We start from the raw sequence: 24,256 nt of genomic DNA, 5'->3' as shown, positions 1-24,256 counted from the left end.
ATTCTGTAGGTTGCCTGTTCACTCTGATGGTAGTTTCTTTTGCCGTGCAGAAACTCTTTAGTTTAATTAGATCCCATTTGTCAATTTTGACTTTTGTTGCCATTGCTTTTGGTGTTTTAGACGTGAAGTCCTTGCCCATGCCTATGTCCTGAATGGTATTATAGCCTAGGTTTTCTTCTAGGGTTTTTATGGTTTTAGGTCTAACATGTAAGTCTTGAATCCATCTTGAATTAATTTTTGTATAAAGTGTAAGGAAGGGATCCCATTTCATCTTTCTCCATATGGCTAGCCAGTTTTCCCAGCACCATTTATTAAATAGGGAATCCTTTCCCCATTTCTTGTTTTTGTCAGGTTTGTCAAAGATCAGATAGTTGTAGATATGCAGCATTATTTCTGAGGGCTCTGTTCTGTTCCATTGGTCTATATCTCTGTTTTGATAACAGTACCATGCTGTTTTGGTTACTGTAGACTTGTAGTATAGTTTGAAGTCAGGTAGCGTGATGCCTCCAGCTTTGTTCTTTTGGCTTAGGATTGACTTGGCAATGCGGGCTCTTTTTTGGTTCCAAAATCAGTGTGCAAAAATCACAAGCATTCTTATACACCAGTAACAGACAAACAGAGAGCCAAATCATGAGTGAACTCCCATGCACAATTGCTTCAAAGATAATAAAATACCTAGGAATCCAACTTACAAGGGACGTGAAGGACCTCTTCAAGGAGAACTACAAACCAGTGCTCAATGAAATAAAAGAGGACACAAACAAATGGAACAACATTCCATGCTCATGGGTAGGAAGAATCAATATCGTGAAAATGGCCATATTGCCCAGGGTAATTTATAGATTCAATGCCATCCCCATCAAGCTACCAATGACTTTCTTCACAGAATTGGAAAAAACTACTTTAAAGTTCATACGGAACAACTTTCATTTTGGTGGAATCACTTTGGTTTCCCCTGTTGAAAAAATTCCTCAATGTGTAACTAAGTCCTCTAGTCCAGCAGAGCCAAAAGTTGGCTTCTTGGTGCACAGTTTGCTTCTTGAGCATAAGAAGCAACATTTTGTTACTAGATACCCAGGAGTAATAGTGAGAGAAGGCCCACATATTGCCTCCTTCATTCTTGAAGTCATAAATGTGGCTATGGGAGAAATAGTTCCATATACTTGAGGCTAGGATTCAGCTTTGCCACTTTCTAGATTGTCAGCCAAGCCCCACAAGGCACTGCCACAAAGCTGCAATGACAACTCAGGCTTTAAAAGGTCCTCCAATGTTCTATTGAGCCAGCCATTTCAGGATGTTGAAGAACATCACAAGACTAGTGAAGTACATTAGCATGAGCCCATTCCCATACTTCATTGCCTGTAAAGTGAGTTTGATGTTTAAAACTGGTGCAGTGTGGAATACCACGACGGTGGATACAGCCTTTCCTCATACCACAGTACCGATTTCCTTGAAGTTCCATGGGTGGGAATGAAAATCCATATGCAGAATAAGTGTCTATTTGAGGAAGATCAAAGTGATACCCCTTCAATCGTGGAAGCAGACCCAAGTAATCACAGTGCTACCTGGAAGCTGACTGACCACTCTGGGACATGGTGCCATATTGGGGACTCAGTGTTGGTCTCTGCTGCTGTCAGATTGAATAGTGAGCAGTGGCTGTAGTGAGATGGACCTGGTAAATGAAAGTTCATGTTGCCAAACCCGTAAATAAGCTTTATCTCAGCCACCATAATCATGATGCACCATTACTGCTTAGAAGATAGAGGGGTGCACCCAAGTAGGTATGGAGGGGTCTCAGGTAGCTTAGAGTGGCCTCAGCCAAGACCGCAAGTATACGGCTACCTCAGTTCCACAACTTTAAGAAGTTAGACCTGCCCGTAACCCAAATGTGCTTGAAAACAGGTTCTCTCTGAGTCCTTAGTTAGTCAGCAGCCTGGTTGATACCCTAACTTTGATTTTGTGAGATCCTAAGCAGAGAAACCAATCCAGCCTGCATGGATTTCTGATCTACAGAACTGCTTATATATTTGTGTTATTTTAAGCTGCTGAATCGGGGACAATTTCTTTTGCATTAGTAACAAACCTAACAGATGTGGTGCCTGCATATTCTGAAGTAACAAATGAAAATCAGGCATGATGTTTTTTATTTTCTAGTCAACTGGTCTCAGGGAACTCCACATGAGACCACAGGTGCAGGATTAGGGAAGCTTCTCTTTTTCTGGGCCCCGGTCCATGCTAGCAGGGTTTCAGTCACTTGTCAATGGGTCCACGGTACTGCACAACATTTAGGTATATGCTAAAACAAGCATCGATTATGCAACTCGTTTCATGTTCCTTATTTAGTAGTAAGAAAGGCAAGATGTAAGAACTTGCTGTTCACCTTATAACCACCATCTTGACATGCCAGACTACCAGATTGTTAAACGCTTCACTCAGTTAGAAGGCCCCTGATTTTGTGTGAGAATTATTTCTCACATAATGTCTTGCAAGTGTGTTGCTACCATGTCTGGATTAGTTGCTACCTCCTTTTCAGTCAGCATGATGTCATCACTGCAAAGAATGGTGTCACATCTGGTTTAAGAGAAAGGTGGCCATTTTCCCTAAGAACTCGTTTAGGATATAAACCTAGAGAGTTGATATAAGCTTGAAATAGGAAATGATAGTACATTGCTGTCCTTTCTAGCTGAATTGAAATTCTTGTTTACGACAATTACTGAAAGAAAGCCAAACATTCACCTAATCAGTATTGTATATCAGGTTCCGAGGGATGTCACAGTTGCTGACACAACAAAACCACTTGTAGTACAGCAGCTGCAGTTGGAACAACAATTTGATTAAGTTTATGGTGCAATCTCGGCTCACTGCAACCTCCACCTCCCGGGTTCAAGCAGTTCTCTTGCCTCAGCCTCCTTGTGTAGCTGGGACTATAGAAATGCATTATCACACCTGGCTAATTGTTTGTATTTCTTAGTAGAGACAGAGTTTCACCATGTTGGCCAGGCTAGTCTCAAACTCCTGACCTCAAGTGATATGCCCACCTCAGACTCCCAAAGTGCAAGTGCGAGCCACTGCGCAGGGCCCCAGCTATTTTTTGTATTTTTGGTAGAGATGTGGTTTCGCCACTTTGGCCAGCCTCGTCTGGAACTCCTGACCTCAAGTGATCCACCCGCTTCTGCCTCCCAAATCCTGGGATTACAGGCGTGAGCCACTGTGTCCGGTGAAAACTTCACTTTTAAGTGAAACGCAGAAGCAAAATCTGATAATCAGAAAATGAGATACTGCGTGTTCTCATTCATATGTGGGAGCTAAACAATGGGTACACATGAAAATAAAGGTAGAAACCATTGACTCTGGGGACTCCAAAATGGAGGTAGAGGGGAGGGAGGGAGCGGGTCGGAGGGTTGAAAAACTACCTATTGGATACTCTCTTCACTATTTGGGTGATGAGTTCACTAGAAGCCCAAACCCCGGCACTGTGCAATTATATCCAAGTGAGAAATCTGTACATGTACCCTTCTGGCATCTATAATTTTAAAAAAGCTAACAAAGAAAGCTTCAGTTTTAAATCTTAACCAAATACACAGGAAAAGGATTACTATACTTGGACACCTTTACAGGTTTCTATGTTAGTTTTTGGTATTAAAGCAGAAACCTGTTCCTCGACCACTTTATTAATTGTATGTCCTCTTTGTACAAACATCGAAAATAGAAGACTGTCACTTTTGGTTCTGTAACTGTCTTGACTGCAGTCTTCTACAGCTTTCACAGAGTTAATGGTCCCTAGTATCTGCCATTCTCCAATTGCCCTGGGTGGCGAAATCGCTGCTATAGTAAACTTTTCACTGATAATTAGAGTTTCTGGAAACATGCGGGGCTCGTTATTTAAGAGTGACTCCATTTGGGCATTTTGGTGGATGGCCTACAGGTTTTCTTGCAGAGTATACTAGAGTCTCCAGAATGAATAACCCTAGGAACTTGAGGAACTAGCGCTTTCCAGAATTTTGGAAGCCGAGATACAAACATTGGTTTTCTCAAAAGCACTGCAAGTGGGAAGGAAAATCCATATCTAGACTAAATGTCTGTTCAGGTAAGAAGAAAGCACTTCTCTTTTTATAATAGAAGTGATCTATTGTAATCCACATACCAACTAGTGGCTGGCAGATCATTCTGGAGTCTGGTGCCAAATTGGGGGCTTAGTGTTGGTCTCCATTCCTGGAAGATTTTTCACTCAGCAATGACCGTAGCCAGGTTTGCCATGGTGAGTGGAGGTCCATGCTACTGCGCATAATCTCCAACCCTGCCAGTTTGACCACTTTGTTTGTTGAGCCGGTAAGATTGTGACACACGTGTTAGGGAAAGAGGCTGATTAATACCTAGATAATAAGTACCTTATCCATCTGATTATTAAAATTCTGCTCTGCTGAGGATACCCTTTGCTGAGAACTCTCATGAGACCCCAATATCTTCACATTGTATGTCCGTTTGGACAGGCCTGTCCACATATTTTTTTTTTTCTCAGACTTCTTTGTCGCACATTTTTAATCGTGTGTTCTCAAAGTCCCTGACAATTCAGCGAATGAGTGGGACACAGCCTATGCATGATACATACTTACACGTCTGGATATGCCTCCTCCAAGAAGGTGCACTGCTCAAAGTTCTTCCCTCTGGGAGGATTTCCCTTCATCACTGTCCTTCAGGGCTGTCCCAGTCAGGACTGTCGTATGCAGCTGTCCACTTGTGGCTTGTGTGGTAGGCAGGATTCTAATTAAGCCCCAACAAGATTCCAGTCTCATGGTTATTCAATCAAATACTCCTATGAGTACTGCTCTGGTGGGATTTTTTTAATGCAAAAAATGAGTATTTTATTTTGATAGCACTAGAGGAAACAAACAAAACAACTGTTCCTACATCAAAGTGAAAACAATGTTTAAGCTTTCCTATCAATCAAATATATTCCAAAAGAAAATGTGTTCTATGAAGGTTCTGAAGCACAGGCAAATATTAACACAATAGGCTAAGAAGCTGTAATACTGAATATGACTCTCTTCTAACAGGGTACTTAACAAACATAATTTTTAATTTTAATTTTAATTAATTAATTTATTTTGAGACGGACTCTCCCTTTGTCCCCCAGTGACAATGGATCTCTGCCCCTTTGGAGTGCAGTGACGCGATCTCTGCTCACTGAAGCTTGCACCTCTCAGGTTCAAGTGATTCTCCTGCCTCTGCTGCCCTAGTAGCAGGGAGTACAGGTGCCCACCACCATGCCTGGCTATATTTTTTAATTTTAATTTTAAGTTTTTTACAAACATAACTTTTGAATTACAAAACCAGTGAAGTAATCCCTTCCAAATAATTGTGTCAATAGTGAAACTGCCTGTTCCATTAAAACTCGAAAAATTTCGCTGTAATATTTTTTACCACTATGGACAATTCAAGTAAATTTTGCTGCACTTAAAATAAGTTGTGAAAGTAGAAAAATGGGCCGGGCATGGTGGCTCTCCCCTGTAATCCCAGGACTTTGGGAGGCCAAGGCAGATGAATCACTTAAAGTCAGGAGTTTGAGACCAGCCTGGAGAACATTGTGAAACACCGTCTCTGCTAAAAATACAAATACCAGCCGGGCATGGTGGTACATGCCTGTAATCCCAGCTTCTCGGGAGGCTGAGGAAGGAGAACTGCTTGAACCTGGGAGGCGGAGGTTGCAGTGAGCCAAGATCATGCCACTGCACTCCAGCCTGGGTGACAGAGCCAGACTGTCTCAAAAAAAATAAAAAAGGTGGAAAAATATACAAAGTTCCAGATTAAAATGATTAATAGATGCAATATAATAAGGTTTCCCCTCCTTCCATCCTTTCTTTCTTTCTCTCTTTCTTTCTTCCTTTCTTCCCTTCTTTCTTCCATCCTTCCTTTCTTCCTTTCTTCCCTTCTTTCTTCCATCCTTCCTTTCTTCCTTCCTTTCTTTCTTTCGTTCTTTCTTTCCTTCCTTCCTTCTTTTTTCTTTCTCTTTCTTTCTTTCTTTCTCTCTTTCTTTTTTTTTGTAGACAGTCTTACTCTGTCACCCAGGCTATAGTGCAATGGTGCGAACAAAGGTCAATGCAGCCTCAACCTCCTGGTGTCAAGCCTCCCGAGCAGCTGGGACCACAGTTACACGCTCAGCTAATTTTTGTATTTTGTGTTAAGATGGGGTTTCACCATGCTGCCCAGGCTGCTCTTGAACTCCTGGGCTCAAGGAATCCACCCCTCTTGGTCTCCCAAATTGCTGGGATTACAGACGTGAGCGACCGCACTGGGGCCCTCATTTTTCTTATCAATTAACAATAATGGTTACCTTTAACAGATAGAGGTTGACTTTATTTATTGATTGATTGATTTTTATTTTTAGACAGAGTCTCACTCTGTTACCCAGGCTGGAGTGCAGTGGCATGATCTCAGCTCACTGCAAATTCTGCCTGCCCGGTTCAAGCGATTCTCCAGCCTCAGCCTCCCAAGTAGCTGGTGGGATTATAGGTGCATGCCACCACGCCCGGTAATTTTCTGTATTTTTAGTAGAGACGGGATTCACCATGTTGGTCAGACAGACTGGTCTCGAACTCCTGACCTCAGGTGGTCCAGCCCCTTCGGCCTCCCAAAGTGTTGAGATTACAGGCGTGAGCCACTGTGGCGGGTCGGGGTTGACTTTAAAACACAACCCCCTCAAATGAAAATTGCAGTTTGTTGTTGTTCTTTTTCTTTTTCTTTTCTTTTCCTTCTTTCTTTCTTTTTTTTTTTTTTTTTTTTTCTGAGGTGGGGTCTCCTCTACCGCCTGGGCTGGAGTGCAGTGGCTCACTGCTACCTCCACCTCCCGGGTTCAAGCCATCCTCCCACCTCAACTTCCCGAGTAGTTGGGACCACAGGTGCGAGGCCACTAGGCCCAGCTAATTTGTGTGTTTCTTTCTTTCTTTCTTTCTTTCTTTTTTGATTAGTTGGTTGCTTTGTAGAGCCGGGGTCTCACTATGTTACCCAGGCGATTTCATCCCGCTGGGTGAGAAGGTTCTGCATTCCTCCGCATACGTTGCTGTGCAGTTGTTACTGAAGGTCGCCTGTAGAGGGCGCCAGAGTCAGCGAAGGGGAGGGCTGCGCTTCCTGGTTCTCTGGGGCACGAGGCTTCTCCTCAGCGCTCTGGCGCCCCCAACAGGTTCCCAGTGTTCGGCTGGGGCAGGCACGCTGTGGCTGGCTACTTCCCTTCCTCCCATCCCCCTTGGGCCAAACGGGATCGGTGCTTCTGGTGAGACGCCTCCCCATGCACATCACTCCCAGGTGCCCTAGGGGGCACATTTCCCACAACTCCCAGAGGGCAGGTTTCTAGAAAGTGCCACCAGTGGGGAGGCGCCACAACTTCACTGCCATTTTGTGAGGTGCCGCCGTCTCTCCTCCAGCAAGGTCAGGACTTCAGGACTGTGAGTGGGCAGTTTTTCCCTGGATGCTTTAATTTCGCCCTGGAAAGTGTCCTTTTTCCTCAGAAAGAGTCTTTTCTGTGGTGTTCTCTGTCCGGTGTGTGGGAGGGCTCCCTTGGGGAAGTGGCTTAGCTCTGGGGACACCGCCATGGGCGCCTGTGTCAGCCGCGGGGGAGCGTTTTCCTTGGGCACCCCGTCTCGGCTATGTTGTGGGGCCAGGGGGCTTTTCTTGGGGGCTCTTGTTGGGGGCTCCCTGTCGGTGATGGAAAAGGCGACTTTTCCTGCTGAAATGACCTGAGCCCGGGGGGTGGGGGCCATGCCTTGGTTGCCTGTGTCGGCCTCGGGTGCGGCGGTGTTTCTTTCCCGCTCAGTCGCTGTCCTGAGGGGGGACTCTGCCCTGGGGTCACTATCTGTGCTCATGGAACGTGGTGGGGGTGGCTGTGCCCCGGACACATGATCGTAGCCCTGTGGGGTCACTGTCGGGGGCTTTATCTCAACCTCTGGTGGACTCTTCCTTGGGTACTGATGTCGGCCGTGAGGCGCATTTGTCCTCGGATGTTGCTCGCTCTCAGTTACAATGTGTTGGCTTTTCTTTGGTTCTGCTTATCCCCGTTGTGGACGCTTACTGGATGGATGCTTTCTCTTGGTGCTGGGTTTTTAAAATTATTATCTGTAGGTGCTCTCTCCCGGTGCCGCCGGGGAATGGGGTAATGTTCCTTGGATTCTCTAAGCCTATGGTGGGACTCAGGGAGCTCTGTGTCAGCCATGAAGGAGGCCACGTGACCTTGGGAACTCTGTCTCGACCCAGGTTGGGGTGCTTTTCCTCGGTTGGTTGGTTGATCGCAATTCTGAAGGAGCTCTTTCCTGGGATTCTATCTGACCTTTCAGCCACAGCCTCAGGTGTCTGTGTGGGAATGGGAGTCCAGAAATATTCGAAGGTTCCAGCTGTGCCACATTCGAACACTCGCAGTACAGTTAGTCTTTCATTCCAGCCACTCTGATGGGTGTGCAGTGATCTCTCCTTATGTCTACACTCGCATTTCTCTGCTGATTAATGAGATCGAGCACCTTTTTAAGAAATTGTTTTTATTTATTGATTTTTGTTTGTCTTTTGAGATGAGGTCTCCCTCTGTCACCCAGACTGGATTGCAGTGCCACCACACCCAGCTATTTATTGTTTTCTTTTTTTTTTTTTTTTAGCACCATTTTATGTGTTTATTGGTCATTTAACTATGCCTTTTATGAAGTTCCTTTTCAGGTATTTTCCCCCAGCTTTTACTGAGATGTTTGTATTTTAAAAATGGATTTGTAGTTTCCATATATTCTGTATTTGAGTTATACGCACAGGCACACAGGCGTATATGTACATATACAAAAATACATATACAATTTTAGTATCTTCTATAAATCTTTTTTGCTTTTACACGATCTCAATAATGTGTTGTAGATGAACAGATTCTCTTAATTTTATTAATTAGTGTATTATTTATGGATAGTGCTTTTTATTATTTTAAGAAACATCTTTGACTCACCCAATGCCATTACGATAATATTCCTTTTCTTAAAATTATACTTTAAGTTCTGGGATACATGGGCAGAACGTGCAGGTTTGTTACATAGGAAGACACATGCCATGGTTGTTTGCTGCACCCATTGACCCGTCATCTACCTTAGGTATTTCTCTAACGCTATCCCTCCCCTAGCCCCCCAACCCCTGACAGGCCCCACTGTGTGATGTTCTTCTCCCCGCGTCCATGTGTTCTCATTGTTCAACTCCCACTTATGAGTGAGGACACGTGGTGTTTGGTTTTCTGTTCCTGTGTTAGCTTGCTGACACATGTCCCTTCAAAGGACATGAACTCATTCTTTTTTATGGCTGCATAGTATTCCGTGGTGTATATGTACCACATTTTCTTTATCCAGCGTCGTGGCAGGCGCCCGTAATCGCAGCTACTCAGGAGGCTGAGGCAGGAGAATTGCTTGAACCTGGGAAGTGGAGGTTGCAGTGAGCAGAGACTGTGCCACTCCACTGCAGCCTGGGTGACAGAGCGAGGCTCCGACTCAAAAAAAAAAAAAGTAATGTCTTCCAATGCATGGAAAGAATATTTTTCTCCATTTACTGCAGTCTTGAATTTCTCTGAGTGATGTTTTATAATTTTTGTGAAGTACTCTAGCACATCTTGATTAGATTTATTCCTAAATATTTGATGTTTTTGGAACTGTTTTTAATGACATTTGAAATCTCATATTCTAATTATTCGTTATACAGAATTGCCATTCTGTATAATGCCATTCATTATACAGAATTGCTATTCATTATACAGAAATGCCATTGGTTTTCATTGTATCTAGTAAGTTGACTAAATTTGCTTATTAACTGTAATGATTTTATTCTTCTGCATTTTTCTATGTACAGAACAATGTCATCTGTGAATAATGACAGTTTTATTTCTTTCCAAATTTTAAACCTATTGTATTTTCCTGATGATATGGCACTTTTTGGAACCTCCAGTAAATTGTTGAATGGATAGTGGACATCTTTGTCTTGTTTTCAAACTCAGGGAGAAAATACTGATACGTCACTATGAAGTATGGCATTTAAAAATTTTTTGTACATATGCTAACCAGAATAGGAAAGTTGCCCTTTTTCCTAAGTTGGTGATAGTTTTTATCACGAATGGACTTTAAACATTGATCCATGTATGAAAATGATCATGCGGTGTTTCCCTGTTTTTGTTGTTGTTGTTGTTGTTGTTGTTAATGTGGTGCACTACATTTGTCGATTTTCAAATGTTAAATCAGTGTTGCCTTTCTGCAATATACTCCACCATGGCTGATGTATGTCCTTTTTAAGTACTAGTACATTTTATTTGCTCACCCTTAGTTTGGAATTTTTGTGTCTAAGTTCGGGGTGATCTTGGCTTGTATTTTTGGCTTGATCTTGTAGTTTTTCATTCTTCTAAATTCCTTGTCAGATGTTGTTATCAGTTTTGTATCAATCTTCTAATAAGGGTTCCTAATAAGGGTTAATACACGTTGGTTTATGCATCTATTTGAATATATAAGCATAAATACTTATATATTAAATATATATGATATATAATATATAATTTAAAATATAATGTATAATAAGGGTTAATACAGATTGGTTTATACATCCATTTTTTCTAATAAGGGTTAATACAGATTGGCTTATACATCTTCAAATAGGTAATAATATTTTTATCTATTTTTGGTTGATGACAGCTGCTTATTCCACAAGCATTCTGATTGATTTGGTTATACCATCTTTCTTCTGTTTTACTTTGTGTACATTAAAATTAGGTTTCTTTTCCTGAGAACAGAGTGTTTGTTGAGACTTGGTAAATCTTGGCTCATGATTAAAAGTGAAATTAATGATTCAAAGTCTTGGTTGTATACACATATGCAGATTGCTTGCCATTTTGTGATTGTTAGATTTTTGTCATGAATAGAATATATTCATTGATGTTTTTCAGGAAACAATGACCGATAAAACAGAGAAGGTGGCTGTAGATCCTGAAACTGTGTTTAAACGTCCCAGGGAATGTGACAGTCCTTCGTATCAGAAAAGGCAGAGGATGGCCCTGTTGGCAAGGAAACAAGGAGCAGGAGACAGCCTTATTGCAGGCTCTGCCATGTCCAAAGAAAAGAGTAAGTAAGCCTGTCCTCACGTCCTCCTCATGCTCCTGCCTCATCCCCTCCAGAGAAACTGTCCTTGTCAAGGTTAACAGTTTCGGCTGACATTGCCATTAACTTCTCAGCAGCATTTGACAGTTGTTCACTCGCTTCTTCATGAAAACCTTCTAGGATTTCCATTTCCGACAATCTTTTTTTTTTTTTTTTAATTTCTTGTCCGTATTGGTGAATCCCTATCATTTTTTTCTTGAGATGGAGTTTCGCTCTTCTCAGCCAGGCTGGAGTGCAGTGGCGCGATCTCGGCTCACTGAAATCTCCGTCTCCTGGGTTCAAGTGATTCTTCTGCCGCAGCCTCCCGAGTAGCGGGATTACAAGCACCAGCCACCACACCCAGCTAATTTTTGTAAGTTTAGTAGAGATGGGGTTTCGCCATGTCGGCCAGGCTGGTCTGGAACTCCCCCCCTCAGGTGATCCACCCACCTCAGCCTCCCAAAGTGCTGGGATTACACGCACGAGCCACCGCCCCCGACCCCATCATTGTTTTTTTCTACATTTCTTTTTCTTCTCTTCTCTAAATACTGTAAAAATTCCTGAACCCCAGCATCTCTCCCTCTCCTTCTATTCCACTCTGCCACGATCAATCACTGAGCTCCTGAGATACCTCCATGTTTCCCATTATTTCCCGCATCAAACACATACCCTCCAACCCTGCAGCCGGGTCATGATGTTGGCATGTAAATCACGTGATGCCATGTCGCTCCTGAACACCCATCCTCAACACTCCTAAGCACTCAGAACCGACTGCGAAGCAGCTTTGGTCTGCGAGGTTCTGCGTGGCCTGGCCTCCGTCACCCTCTCCTCACACGGGCCCCATCATCTCCTGACTCTCTCTGCTACTGTCCTTCACCCCATAGTGCCCGGTCCATCCCCACTCCAGCCCATATCCTTGGCCTCACCGCAACCTGGAACTCCCCCTCTGCCTCTGCGCAGGCAGCTCTGCTTTTTCCTTCAAGCCCTGCCCAAGGGTACCTCCACAGAAGGCTCTGCCCAACCAGCAGCAGCTCCTGGGGCTCCCTCTGCTGCTGTTGCCCACAGGCCTGTGGACTGCTTCCTTACCACTAGCCCAACACTGTATGTTTCATTTGCTCATTGTGCACGTACTGTCTGACCGCCCCATGAGGATGTGAGCTCCAGAAGGGCAGGGAACGTTGCTCTCTGGGCTGTTTACTGCTGATCCCCAGCTACCGGCACGCTGCCTGCCACAGACGATGAATAAATGAGAGGTGTCAGACCTGGAGTGAAAAGAAAGTCACTTTTGTGAGACAGAAAGGAAGGATGAGGAAAATCATACACTAAAAGGGATTTTTTGTTGATGGAGTACATATAGAACTTTCAGCAGTAATGGCCACCTCTATTTTCTCAGAATATGTTTGATGTAGAGAGGAGGCTGGTTGAGGTGTGTCCAAGTTGTCTGGCTTCCAGCTTAGTAAAACATGGCAGTTTGTAAGTGAATTTGAGAAATCATGATATCAAGTGAGACTTGCTGCTTTCAACTTGTAAAGCATAACAAGCTGAAACTGTCCCATGAGTACCAGGGATCTGTGAATGTTGCTTTAGAGTTGTACTGCCTTACTTGGTTTCCATGTCTATTCATAGGGCCAGAAAATAAGAGGTGGTTTTATTGTATTATGTGTCCTGGCCTCCGTTTGTCAGGCCTGGGATTTCTCCCTGGTGTATCCTCCCATTTATGAAATAAATAATTCCCTAGAAACTGAGGAGCACATAGATGTACCCAGAGGGGTGATGAAACACACATATCTCACAGCTCAGCTTCTCAGTTTGATTTCCAGAGCTGTCATTCATGAGGTCTATGTGGAGGGGAAAGAAAGTGGTCAAACACCAACTGATGGCTTTTACTCAAAATCTGTTTCACCAGAGCTTATGACAGGACATGCTATTCCACCCAGCCAATTGGATTCTCAGATTGATGACTTCACTGGTTTCAGCAAAGATGGGATGATGCAGAAACCTGGTAGCAATGCACCTGTGGGAGGAAACGTTACCAGCAGTTTCTCTGGAGATGACCTAGAATGCAGAGAAACAGCCTCCTCTCCCAAAAGCCAACGAGAAATTAATGCTGATATAAAACGTAAATTAGTGAAGGAACTCCGATGCGTTGGACAAAGTAAGTAATATAAGAATGTCTGTTTTATAAAACTATAGGAAGTCTCTCTTTCTATGATTCAGAAGATATTCATGTTGCCTGTTGAGTTTCATTCTTTGCCAGAGTTGAGATTGCACATAATTTATGGTGGTTCCTCTTTTCTTTGACTAAAGCATGTACATTTTTTCTTTTTCTTTTCTTACTTGGTTATGGTTAAAGGAGTTACATTCGTATGTATGTGCAGGTGTCTTTTTTATTATTTAGGTTTTGTATGTGCAGGTATCTTGATTTAAGCATTTAAAACATTTCAGCCTCTGAAGCATGATTGCTGAGGTGTAGATTCACTTCTATTCTTCTTTATATTTGATAATACTGAAGTTTTTTTTTTTTCAACATCTTCAGAATATGAAAAAATCTTCGAAATGCTTGAAGGAGTGCAAGGACCTACTGCAGTCAGGAAGCGATTTTTTGAATCCATCATCAAGGAAGCAGCAAGGTGGGTAGAAATAGGAACTGTCCAATTTCTTTAAGCACTTGGGCTCAATAGAGCACTGGGGGTGAGCGTTGGGGAACAGCCCCTGCCTTGCGTTTCTCAAACCCTGGTCCTCACTCACAGTTATGGCTGTCTCCACAGTTACTTAGGCTAATGTTATCTGAGTGTAACTCATTCTTCGAAGACTATGGAGACTTCCATTTTCACCATAGTCTGAGGTGCGCATTGTCCCTCAATTGACACTCTTTGTATTTGCTAGACTACCTCTTTTTAAAAAATTTGTGTAGGCACATAGCAGATGCATATATTTCTGGGCTATATGAGATATTGTGATACAGACAACAATGTGTAATAATCACATCAAGGTAAGTGGGGTTTCTATCACCTCAAGCTTTTATCCTTTGCGTTACAGAGAATACAATTATACTCTTCATTATTTTTAAATGTGCAATTAAATTATTACCGACTATAGTCACCCTGTTTGGCTATGAAATACGACATCTTATTTATTCCATACTTCTACGTATTAATCATCCCCACTTCCCACACCCTCCACCCCCACTAACCTTTGTAGCCTCTGGTAACTGTCATTCTACTCTCTATCTCCATTAGTTCAGTTGTTTTACACTTTTACTCCCAAAAATAAGTGAGAACATGTGAAGTTTGTCTTTCTGTGCCTGGCTTATTTCACTTAACATAAGGACCTTCGGTTCTATCCGTGTTGTTGCAAATGACTGAATCTCATTCTTTTTTTTATGGCTAAACAGTACTCTGTGGTGTATATGTACCATATTTTCTTTACCCATTCATGTGTTAGTGGACACTTAGGTTGCTTCCAAATCTTGGCTACTGTGGATGGTGCTGCAACAAACATGGGAGTGCAGATATCTGTTCGGTACACTGACTTCCTTTCTCTTGGGTATATACCCAGCAGTGGGATTGCTGGATCATATGATAGCTCCATTTTTAGTTGTTTGAGGAACCTCCAAACTGTTCTTCATAGTTAGTTGTTGTAGTAATTTATATTCTCACCAACAGTGTATGAAGGTTCCCTTTTCTCCACACCCTTGCCAGCATTTGTTATGCCGGCTAGACTGCCTCTTACCATGCAGATACATTTCTATTTCCATGCTGACTGTTACTTCATCTTTCTATCTGTCACAGCGCTTCCTACAGCATAGGTTCTTTGGCTATCTTTTGGTTAATGACATGTCTCTTTCTCTTCAGATGTATGAGACGAGACTTTGTTAAGCACCTTAAGAAGAAACTGAAACGTATGATTTGAGAATACTTGTCCCTGGAGGATTATCACACCCCAAATGCATAATCTCGTTAATGATTGAGGAGAGAAAAGGATCAGATTGCTGTTTTCTACAATGGAGCAGGATATTGCTGAAGTCTCCTGGCATATGTTACCGAATCAACTGGCCTTCCAGAGGCTAAGAAATTTCTGTTAGTAAAAGATGTTCTTTTTCCCAAAGCGTTTTATTTGAAAGGATAACTTGTGTTTTGGTTATTTTGTATTCCCACCTGTGCTGGTAGATATTATTAACCCATTAGGTAAATACTATTACAGTCGTGGTTTCTGCAGCAGCTCACACTGATGTAGCTGGCGTTTATAACTACCTTCTTTCGCTACCCGTTTCGCATTCCCTTTGCCCTGAGATAGCATGTCAGTTGGTCATGATGCTTGGCCTGGCAGGATGACTCAAACCTTCATTACGGAAGAGTCTGAACCATTAGATATCCTGCCTGGATGGGGTTGCTGTGATTTTCCATTAACTCTAATCGAAAAACACGGGAGGACTAAGAAGCTCTCTAGACATATCACACATACTCTTCCTTAGCCCCTCGTGTGGTGGGAACCCGATCTCAATGTTGAAATCTGTATCATCAGCCTTCAACGAAAAGGCAGAACTAATGGGAGATTTTAATGTGTGTGTGTGTGTGTGTGTGTGTGTGTGTGTGTGTGTGTGTTGGTAGGGGGTATATATACATGCACACACACACTTTCTAATCTCCCATTATACATATAATACACATTACACATATTATATATACACCCCCATATATATATATGTATGCGTGTGTGGGGGGGTATATCCAATATATATAATAAAGGTAGTTCCTAGATAGGATTGGTCTGATACAATAATTTGGAGCTGCAGTAGCAGTCCCTGTAAGGCTGTTGTTTCCAGATACGACTTGAACGTTCTATGCTTTTTATTTTTTTTAAAGACAGAATCTTGCTCTGTTGCCCAGGCTAGAGTGCGGTGACACGATCACAAGTCACTGCCACCTCGACCTCACCCCAGTTCAAGCGATCCTTGTGCTTCAGCCTTCGAAGTAGCTGGGATTACAGGTGCACCACAGGTGCCATCACGCTGCAATTTTTGTATTTTTAGTGGAGATGGGGTTTTGCCATGTTGTCCAGGCTGGTCTCGAAACCTGGCCTCAAGTGATCTGCCCATCTCAGCCTCCCAAGGTTCTAGGATTACAGGCATGAGCCACTGCACCCAGCCCATTCTATGCTTTTTTTAAAAAAATTAATTCATTCAATTATTCAACAAATATTAATTGTGCCAGGTACTTTTTTTTATTATACTTTAAGGTTTAGGGTACATGTGCACAACGTGCAGGTTTGTTACATATGTATACATGTGCCATTTTTGTGTGCTGCACCCATTAACTCATCATTTAACATTAGGTATATCTCCTAATGCTATCCCTCCCCCCTCCCCACACCCCACAACAGGACCCAGTGTGTGATGTTCCCCTTCCTGTGTCCATGTGTTCTCATTGTTCAGTTCCCACCTATGAGGGAGAACATGCGGTGTTTGGTTTTTTGTCCTTGCGATAGTTTGCTGAGAATGATGGTTTCCAGCTTCATCCATGTCCCTACAAAGGACATGAACTCATCATTTTTCATGGCTGCATAGTATTCCATGGTGTATATGTGCCACGTTTTCTTAATCCAGTCTATCATTGTTGGACATTTGGGTTGGTTCCAAGTCTTTGCTATTGTGAATAGTGCCACAATAAACATACGTGTGCATGTGTCTTTATAGCACCATGTTTTATAATCCTTTGGGTATATACTCAGTAATGGGATGGCTGGGTCAAATGGTATTTCTAGTTCTAGATCCCTGAGGAATCGCCACACTGACTTCCACAATGGTTGAACTAGTTTACAGTCCCACCAACAGTGTAAAAGTGTTCCTATTTGTCCACATCCTCTCCAGCACCTGTTGTTTCCTGACTTTTTAATGATTGCCATTCTAACTGGTGTGAGATGGTATCTCATTGTGGTTTTGATTTGCATTTATCTGATGGCCAGTGATGATGAGCATGTTTTCATGTGTCTGTTGGCTGCATAAATGTCTTCTTTTGAGAAGTATCTGTTCATATCCTTCGCCCGCTTGTTGATGGGGTTGTTTGTTTTTTTTCTTGTAAATTTGTTTGAGTTCGTTGTAGATTCTGGATATTAGCCCTTTGTCAGATGAGTAGACTGCAAAAATTTCCTCCCATTCTGTAGGTTGCCTGTTCACTCTGATGGTGGTTTCTTTTGCCGTGCAGAAACTCTTTAGTTTAATTAGATCCCATTTGTCAATTTTGACTTTTGTTGCCATTGCTTTTGGTGTTTTAGACATGAAGTCCTTGCCCATGCCTATGTCCTGAATGGTATTGCCTAGGTTTTCTTCTAGGGTTTTTATGGTTTTAGGTCTAACATGTAAGTCTTGAATCCATCTTGAATTAATTTTTGTATAAAGTGTAAGGAAGGGATCCCATTTCAGCTTTCTCCATATGGCTAGCCAGTTTTCCCAGCACCATTTATTAAATAGGGAATCCTTTCCCCATTTCTTGTTTTTGTCAGGTTTGTCAAAGATCAGATAGTTGTAGATATGCAGCATTATTTCTGAGGGCTCTGTTCTGTTCCATTGGTCTGTATCTCTGTTTTGATAACAGTACCATGCTGTTTTGGTTACTGTAGACTTGTAGTATAGTTTGAAGTCAGGTAGCGTGATGCCTCCAGCTTTGTTCTTTTGGCTTAGGATTGACTTGGCAATGCGGGCTCTTTTTTGGTTCCAAAATCAGTGTGCAAAAATCACAAGCATTCTTATACACCAGTAACAGACAAACAGAGAGCCAAATCATGAGTGAACTCCCATGCACAATTGCTTCAAAGATAATAAAATACCTAGGAATCCAACTTACAAGGGACGTGAAGGACCTCTTCAAGGAGAACTACAAACCAGTGCTCAATGAAATAAAAGAGGACACAAACAAATGGAACAACATTCCATGCTCATGGGTAGGAAGAATCAATATCGTGAAAATGGCCATATTGCCCAGGGTAATTTATAGATTCAATGCCATCCCCATCAAGCTACCAATGACTTTCTTCACAGAATTGGAAAAAACTACTTTAAAGTTCATACGGAACAACTTTCATTTTGGTGGAATCACTTTGGTTTCCCCTGTTGAAAAAATTCCTCAATGTGTAACTAAGTCCTCTAGTCCAGCAGAGCCAAAAGTTGGCTTCTTGGTGCACAGTTTGCTTCTTGAGCATAAGAAGCAACATTTTGTTACTAGATACCCAGGAGTAATAGTGAGAGAAGGCCCACATATTGCCTCCTTCATTCTTGAAGTCATAAATGTGGCTATGGGAGAAATAGTTCCATATACTTGAGGCTAGGATTCAGCTTTGCCACTTTCTAGATTGTCAGCCAAGCCCCACAAGGCACTGCCACAAAGCTGCAATGACAACTCAGGCTTTAAAAGGTCCTCCAATGTTCTATTGAGCCAGCCATTTCAGGATGTTGAAGAACATCACAAGACTAGTGAAGTACATTAGCATGAGCCCATTCCCATACTTCATTGCCTGTAAAGTGAGTTTGATGTTTAAAACTGGTGCAGTGTGGAATACCACGACGGTGGATACAGCCTTTCCTCATACCACAGTACCGATTTCCTTGAAGTTCCATGGGTGGGAATGAAAATCCATATGCAGAATAAGTGTCTATTTGAGGAAGATCAAAGTGATACCCCTTCAATCGTGGAAGCAGACCCAAGTAATCACAGTGCTACCTGGAAGCTGACTGACCACTCTGGGACATGGTGCCATATTGGGGACTCAGTGTTGGTCTCTGCTGCTGTCAGATTGAATAGTGAGCAGTGGCTGTAGTGAGATGGACCTGGTAAATGAAAGTTCATGTTGCCAAACCCGTAAATAAGCTTTATCTCAGCCACCATAATCATGATGCACCATTACTGCTTAGAAGATAGAGGGGTGCACCCAAGTAGGTATGGAGGGGTCTCAGGTAGCTTAGAGTGGCCTCAGCCAAGACCGCAAGTATACGGCTACCTCAGTTCCACAACTTTAAGAAGTTAGACCTGCCCGTAACCCAAATGTGCTTGAAAACAGGTTCTCTCTGAGTCCTTAGTTAGTCAGCAGCCTGGTTGATACCCTAACTTTGATTTTGTGAGATCCTAAGCAGAGAAACCAATCCAGGCTGCATGGATTTCTGATCTACAGAACTGCTTATATATTTGTGTTATTTTAAGCTGCTGAATCGGGGACAATTTCTTTTGCATTAGTAACAAACCTAATAGATGTGGTGCCTGCATATTCTGAAGTAACAAATGAAAATCAGGCATGAAGTTTTTTATTTTCTAGTCAACTGGTCTCAGGGAACTCCACATGAGATCACAGGTGCAGGATTAGGGAAGCTTCTCTTTTTCTGGGCCCCGGTCCATGCTAGCGGGGTTTCAGTCACTTGTCAATGGGTCCACGGTACTGCACAACATTTAGGTATATGCTAAAACAAGCATCTATTATGCAACTCGTTTCATGTTCCTTATTTAGTAGTAAGAAAGGCAAGATGTAAGAACTTGCTGTTCACCTTATAACCACCATCTTGACATGCCAGACTACCAGATTGTTAAACGCTTCACTCAGTTAGAAGGCCCCTGATTTTGTGTGAGAATTATTTCTCACATAATGTCTTGCAAGTGTGTTGCTACCATGTCTGGATTAGTTGCTACCTCCTTTTCAGTCAGCATGATGTCATCACTGCAAAGAATGGTGTCACATCTGGTTTAAGAGAAAGGTGGCCATTTTCCCTAAGAACTCGTTTAGGATATAAACCTAGAGAGTTGATATAAGCTTGAAATAGGAAATGATAGTACATTGCTGTCCTTTCTAGCTGAATTGAAATTCTTGTTTACGACAATTACTGAAAGAAAGCCAAACATTCACCTAATCAGTATTGTATATCAGGTTCCGAGGGATGTCACAGTTGCTGACACAACAAAACCACTTGTAGTACAGCAGCTGCAGTTGGAACAACAATTTGATTAAGTTTATGGTGCAATCTCGGCTCACTGCAACCTCCACCTCCCGGGTTCAAGCAGTTCTCTTGCCTCAGCCTCCTTGTGTAGCTGGGACTATAGAAACGCATTATCACACCTGGCTAATTGTTTGTATTTCTTAGTAGAGACAGAGTTTCACCATGTTGGCCAGGCTAGTCTCAAACTCCTGACCTCAAGTGATATGCCCACCTCAGACTCCCAAAGTGCAAGTGCGAGCCACTGCGCAGGGCCCCAGCTATTTTTTGTATTTTTGGTAGAGATGTGGTTTCGCCACTTTGGCCAGCCTCGTCTGGAACTCCTGACCTCAAGTGATCCACCCGCTTCTGCCTCCCAAATCCTGGGATTACAGGCGTGAGCCACTGTGTCCGGTGAAAACTTCACTTTTAAGTGAAACGCAGAAGCAAAATCTGATAATCAGAAAATGAGATACTGCGTGTTCTCATTCATATGTGGGAGCTAAACAATGGGTACACATGAAAATAAAGGTAGAAACCATTGACTCTGGGGACTCCAAAATGGAGGTAGAGGGGAGGGAGGGAGCGGGTCGGAGGGTTGAAAAACTACCTATTGGATACTCTCTTCACTATTTGGGTGATGAGTTCACTAGAAGCCCAAACCCCGGCACTGTGCAATTATATCCAAGCGAGAAATCTGTACATGTACCCTTCTGGCATCTATAATTTTAAAAAAGCTAACAAAGAAAGCTTCAGTTTTAAATCTTAACCAAATACACAGGAAAAGGATTACTATACTTGGACACCTTTACAGGTTTCTATGTTAGTTTTTGGTATTAAAGCAGAAACCTGTTCCTCGACCACTTTATTAATTGTATGTCCTCTTTGTACAAACATCGGAAATAGAAGACTGTCACTTTTGGTTCTGTAACTGTCTTGACTGCAGTCTTCTACAGCTTTCACAGAGTTAATGGTCCCTAGTATCTGCCATTCTCCAATTGCCCTGGGTGGCGAAATCGCTGCCATAGTAAACTTTTCACTGATAATTAGAGTTTCTGGAAACATGCAGGGCTCGTTATTTAAGAGTGACTCCATTTGGGCATTTTGGTGGATGGCCTACAGGTTTTCTTGCAGAGTATACTAGAGTCTCCAGAATGAATAACCCTAGGAACTTGAGGAACTAGCGCTTTCCAGAATTTTGGAAGCTGAGATACAAACATTGGTTTTCTCAAAAGCACTGCAAGTGGGAAGGAAAATCCATATCTAGACTAAATGTCTGTTCAGGTAAGAAGAAAGCACTTCTCTTTTTATAATAGAAGTGATCTATTGTAATCCACATACCAACTAGTGGCTGGCAGATCATTCTGGAGTCTGGTGCCAAATTGGGGGCTTAGTGTTGGTCTCCATTCCTGGAAGATTTTTCACTCAGCAATGACCGTAGCCAGGTTTGCCATGGTGAGTGGAGGTCCATGCTACTGCGCATAATCTCCAACCCTGCCAGTTTGACCACTTTGTTTGTTGAGCCGGTAAGATTGTGACACACGTGTTAGGGAAAGAGGCTGATTAATACCTAGATAATAAGTACCTTATCCATCTGATTATTAAAATTCTGCTCTGCTGAGGATACCCTTTGCTGAGAACTCTCATGAGACCCCAATATCTTCACATTGTATGTCCGTTTGGACAGGCCTGTCCACATATTTTTTTTTTCTCAGACTTCTTTGTCGCACATTTTTAATCGTGTGTTCTCAAAGTCCCTGACAATTCAGCGAATGAGTGGGACACAGCCTATGCATGATACATACTTACACGTCTGGATATGCCTCCTCCAAGAAGGTGCACTGCTCAAAGTTCTTCCCTCTGGGAGGATTTCCCTTCATCACTGTCCTTCAGGGCTGTCCCAGTCAGGACTGTCGTATGCAGCTGTCCACCTGTGGCTTGTGTGGTAGGCAGGATTCTAATTAAGCCCCAACAAGATTCCAGTCTCATGGTTATTCAATCAAATACTCCTATGAGTACTGCTCTGGTGGGATTTTTTTAATGCAAAAAATGAGTATTTTATTTTGATAGCACTAGAGGAAACAAACAAAACAACTGTTCCTACATCAAAGTGAAAACAATGTTTAAGCTTTCCTATCAATCAAATATATTCCAAAAGAAAATGTGTTCTATGAAGGTTCTGAAGCACAGGCAAATATTAACACAATAGGCTAAGAAGCTGTAATACTGAATATGACTCTCTTCTAACAGGGTACTTAACAAACATAATTTTTAATTTTAATTTTAATTAATTAATTTATTTTGAGACGGACTCTCCCTTTGTCCCCCAGTGACAATGGATCTCTGCCCCTTTGGAGTGCAGTGACGCGATCTCTGCTCACTGAAGCTTGCACCTCTCAGGTTCAAGTGATTCTCCTGCCTCTGCTGCCCTAGTAGCAGGGAGTACAGGTGCCCACCACCATGCCTGGCTATATTTTTTAATTTTAATTTTAAGTTTTTTACAAACATAACTTTTGAATTACAAAACCAGTGAAGTAATCCCTTCCAAATAATTGTGTCAATAGTGAAACTGCCTGTTCCATTAAAACTCGAAAAATTTCGCTGTAATATTTTTTACCACTATGGACAATTCAAGTAAATTTTGCTGCACTTAAAATAAGTTGTGAAAGTAGAAAAATGGGCCGGGCATGGTGGCTCTCCCCTGTAATCCCAGGACTTTGGGAGGCCAAGGCAGATGAATCACTTAAAGTCAGGAGTTTGAGACCAGCCTGGAGAACATTGTGAAACACCGTCTCTGCTAAAAATACAAATACCAGCCGGGCATGGTGGTACATGCCTGTAATCCCAGCTTCTCGGGAGGCTGAGGAAGGAGAACTGCTTGAACCTGGGAGGCGGAGGTTGCAGTGAGCCAAGATCATGCCACTGCACTCCAGCCTGGGTGACAGAGCCAGACTGTCTCAAAAAAAATAAAAAAGGTGGAAAAATATACAAAGTTCCAGATTAAAATGATTAATAGATGCAATATAATAAGGTTTCCCCTCCTTCCATCCTTTCTTTCTTTCTCTCTTTCTTTCTTCCTTTCTTCCCTTCTTTCTTCCATCCTTCCTTTCTTCCTTTCTTCCCTTCTTTCTTCCATCCTTCCTTTCTTCCTTCCTTTCTTTCTTTCGTTCTTTCTTTCCTTCCTTCCTTCTTTTTTCTTTCTCTTTCTTTCTTTCTTTCTCTCTTTCTTTCTCTCTTTCTTTTTTTTTGTAGACAGTCTTACTCTGTCACCCAGGCTATAGTGCAATGGTGCGAACAAAGGTCAATGCAGCCTCAACCTCCTGGTGTCAAGCCTCCCGAGCAGCTGGGACCACAGTTACACGCTCAGCTAATTTTTGTATTTTGTGTTAAGATGGGGTTTCACCATGCTGCCCAGGCTGCTCTTGAACTCCTGGGCTCAAGGAATCCACCCCTCTTGGTCTCCCAAATTGCTGGGATTACAGACGTGAGCGACCGCACTGGGGCCCTCATTTTTCTTATCAATTAACAATAATGGTTACCTTTAACAGATAGAGGTTGACTTTATTTATTGATTGATTGATTTTTATTTTTAGACAGAGTCTCACTCTGTTACCCAGGCTGGAGTGCAGTGGCATGATCTCAGCTCACTGCAAATTCTGCCTGCCCGGTTCAAGCGATTCTCCAGCCTCAGCCTCCCAAGTAGCTGGTGGGATTATAGGTGCATGCCACCACGCCCGGTAATTTTCTGTATTTTTAGCAGAGACGGGATTCACCATGTTGGTCAGACAGACTGGTCTCGAACTCCTGACCTCAGGTGGTCCAGCCCCTTCGGCCTCCCAAAGTGTTGAGATTACAGGCGTGAGCCACTGTGGCGGGTCGGGGTTGACTTTAAAACACAACCCCCTCAAATGAAAATTGCAGTTTGTTGTTGTTCTTTTTCTTTTTCTTTTCTTTTCCTTCTTTCTTTCTTTTTTTTTTTTTTTCTGAGATGGGGTCTCCTCTACCGCCTGGGCTGGAGTGCAGTGGCTCACTGCTACCTCCACCTCCCGGGTTCAAGCCATCCTCCCACCTCAACTTCCCGAGTAGTTGGGACCACAGGTGCGAGGCCACTAGGCCCAGCTAATTTGTGTGTTTCTTTCTTTCTTTCTTTCTTTTTTGATTAGTTGGTTGCTTTGTAGAG

General features: G+C 42.6%; 1 protein-coding gene across 3 annotated transcripts; it reads left to right on the top strand.

Annotated features, from left to right (window-relative positions):
- The first annotated feature begins 7,145 nt into the window (after positions 1-7,145).
- On the top strand, positions 7,146-15,248 carry CT45A6 (cancer/testis antigen family 45 member A6). Of its 3 annotated transcripts, none has more exons than NM_001017438.3 (5): positions 7,146-7,422; positions 10,934-11,108; positions 13,030-13,278; positions 13,660-13,753; positions 14,978-15,248. In NM_001017438.3, the coding sequence occupies exons 2-5, from the start codon at positions 10,940-10,942 to the stop codon at positions 15,033-15,035; spliced, it is 570 nt and encodes a 189-aa protein (NP_001017438.2). In that variant the 5' UTR covers positions 7,146-7,422; positions 10,934-10,939; the 3' UTR covers positions 15,036-15,248. The 3 variants fall into 3 exon arrangements, with proteins under 3 accessions (NP_001017438.2, XP_011529653.1, XP_005262482.2); XM_011531351.3 differs by having other exon boundaries at positions 7,178-7,267; XM_005262425.5 differs by having other exon boundaries at positions 7,281-7,439.

This window comes from Homo sapiens, chromosome X (assembly GCF_000001405.40).
Source record: "Homo sapiens chromosome X, GRCh38.p14 Primary Assembly".
Lineage (NCBI taxonomy): Eukaryota > Metazoa > Chordata > Mammalia > Primates > Hominidae > Homo > Homo sapiens.
Note: the sequence above shows the minus strand (reverse complement) of the source record. Positions and strands in the feature narration are given on the sequence as shown.

Bases quoted from the DNA above. Each gene is read 5' to 3' on its own strand.
- CT45A6 (NM_001017438.3), top strand. From the start codon at position 10,940: ATGACCGATAAAACAGAGAAGGTGGCTGTAGATCCTGAAACTGTGTTT. The intron at 11,109-13,029 runs GTAAGTAAGCCT...CTGTTTCACCAG, and splicing joins TGCCATGTCCAAAGAAAAGA to AGCTTATGACAGGACATGCT. The intron at 13,279-13,659 runs GTAAGTAATATA...CAACATCTTCAG, and splicing joins ACTCCGATGCGTTGGACAAA to AATATGAAAAAATCTTCGAA.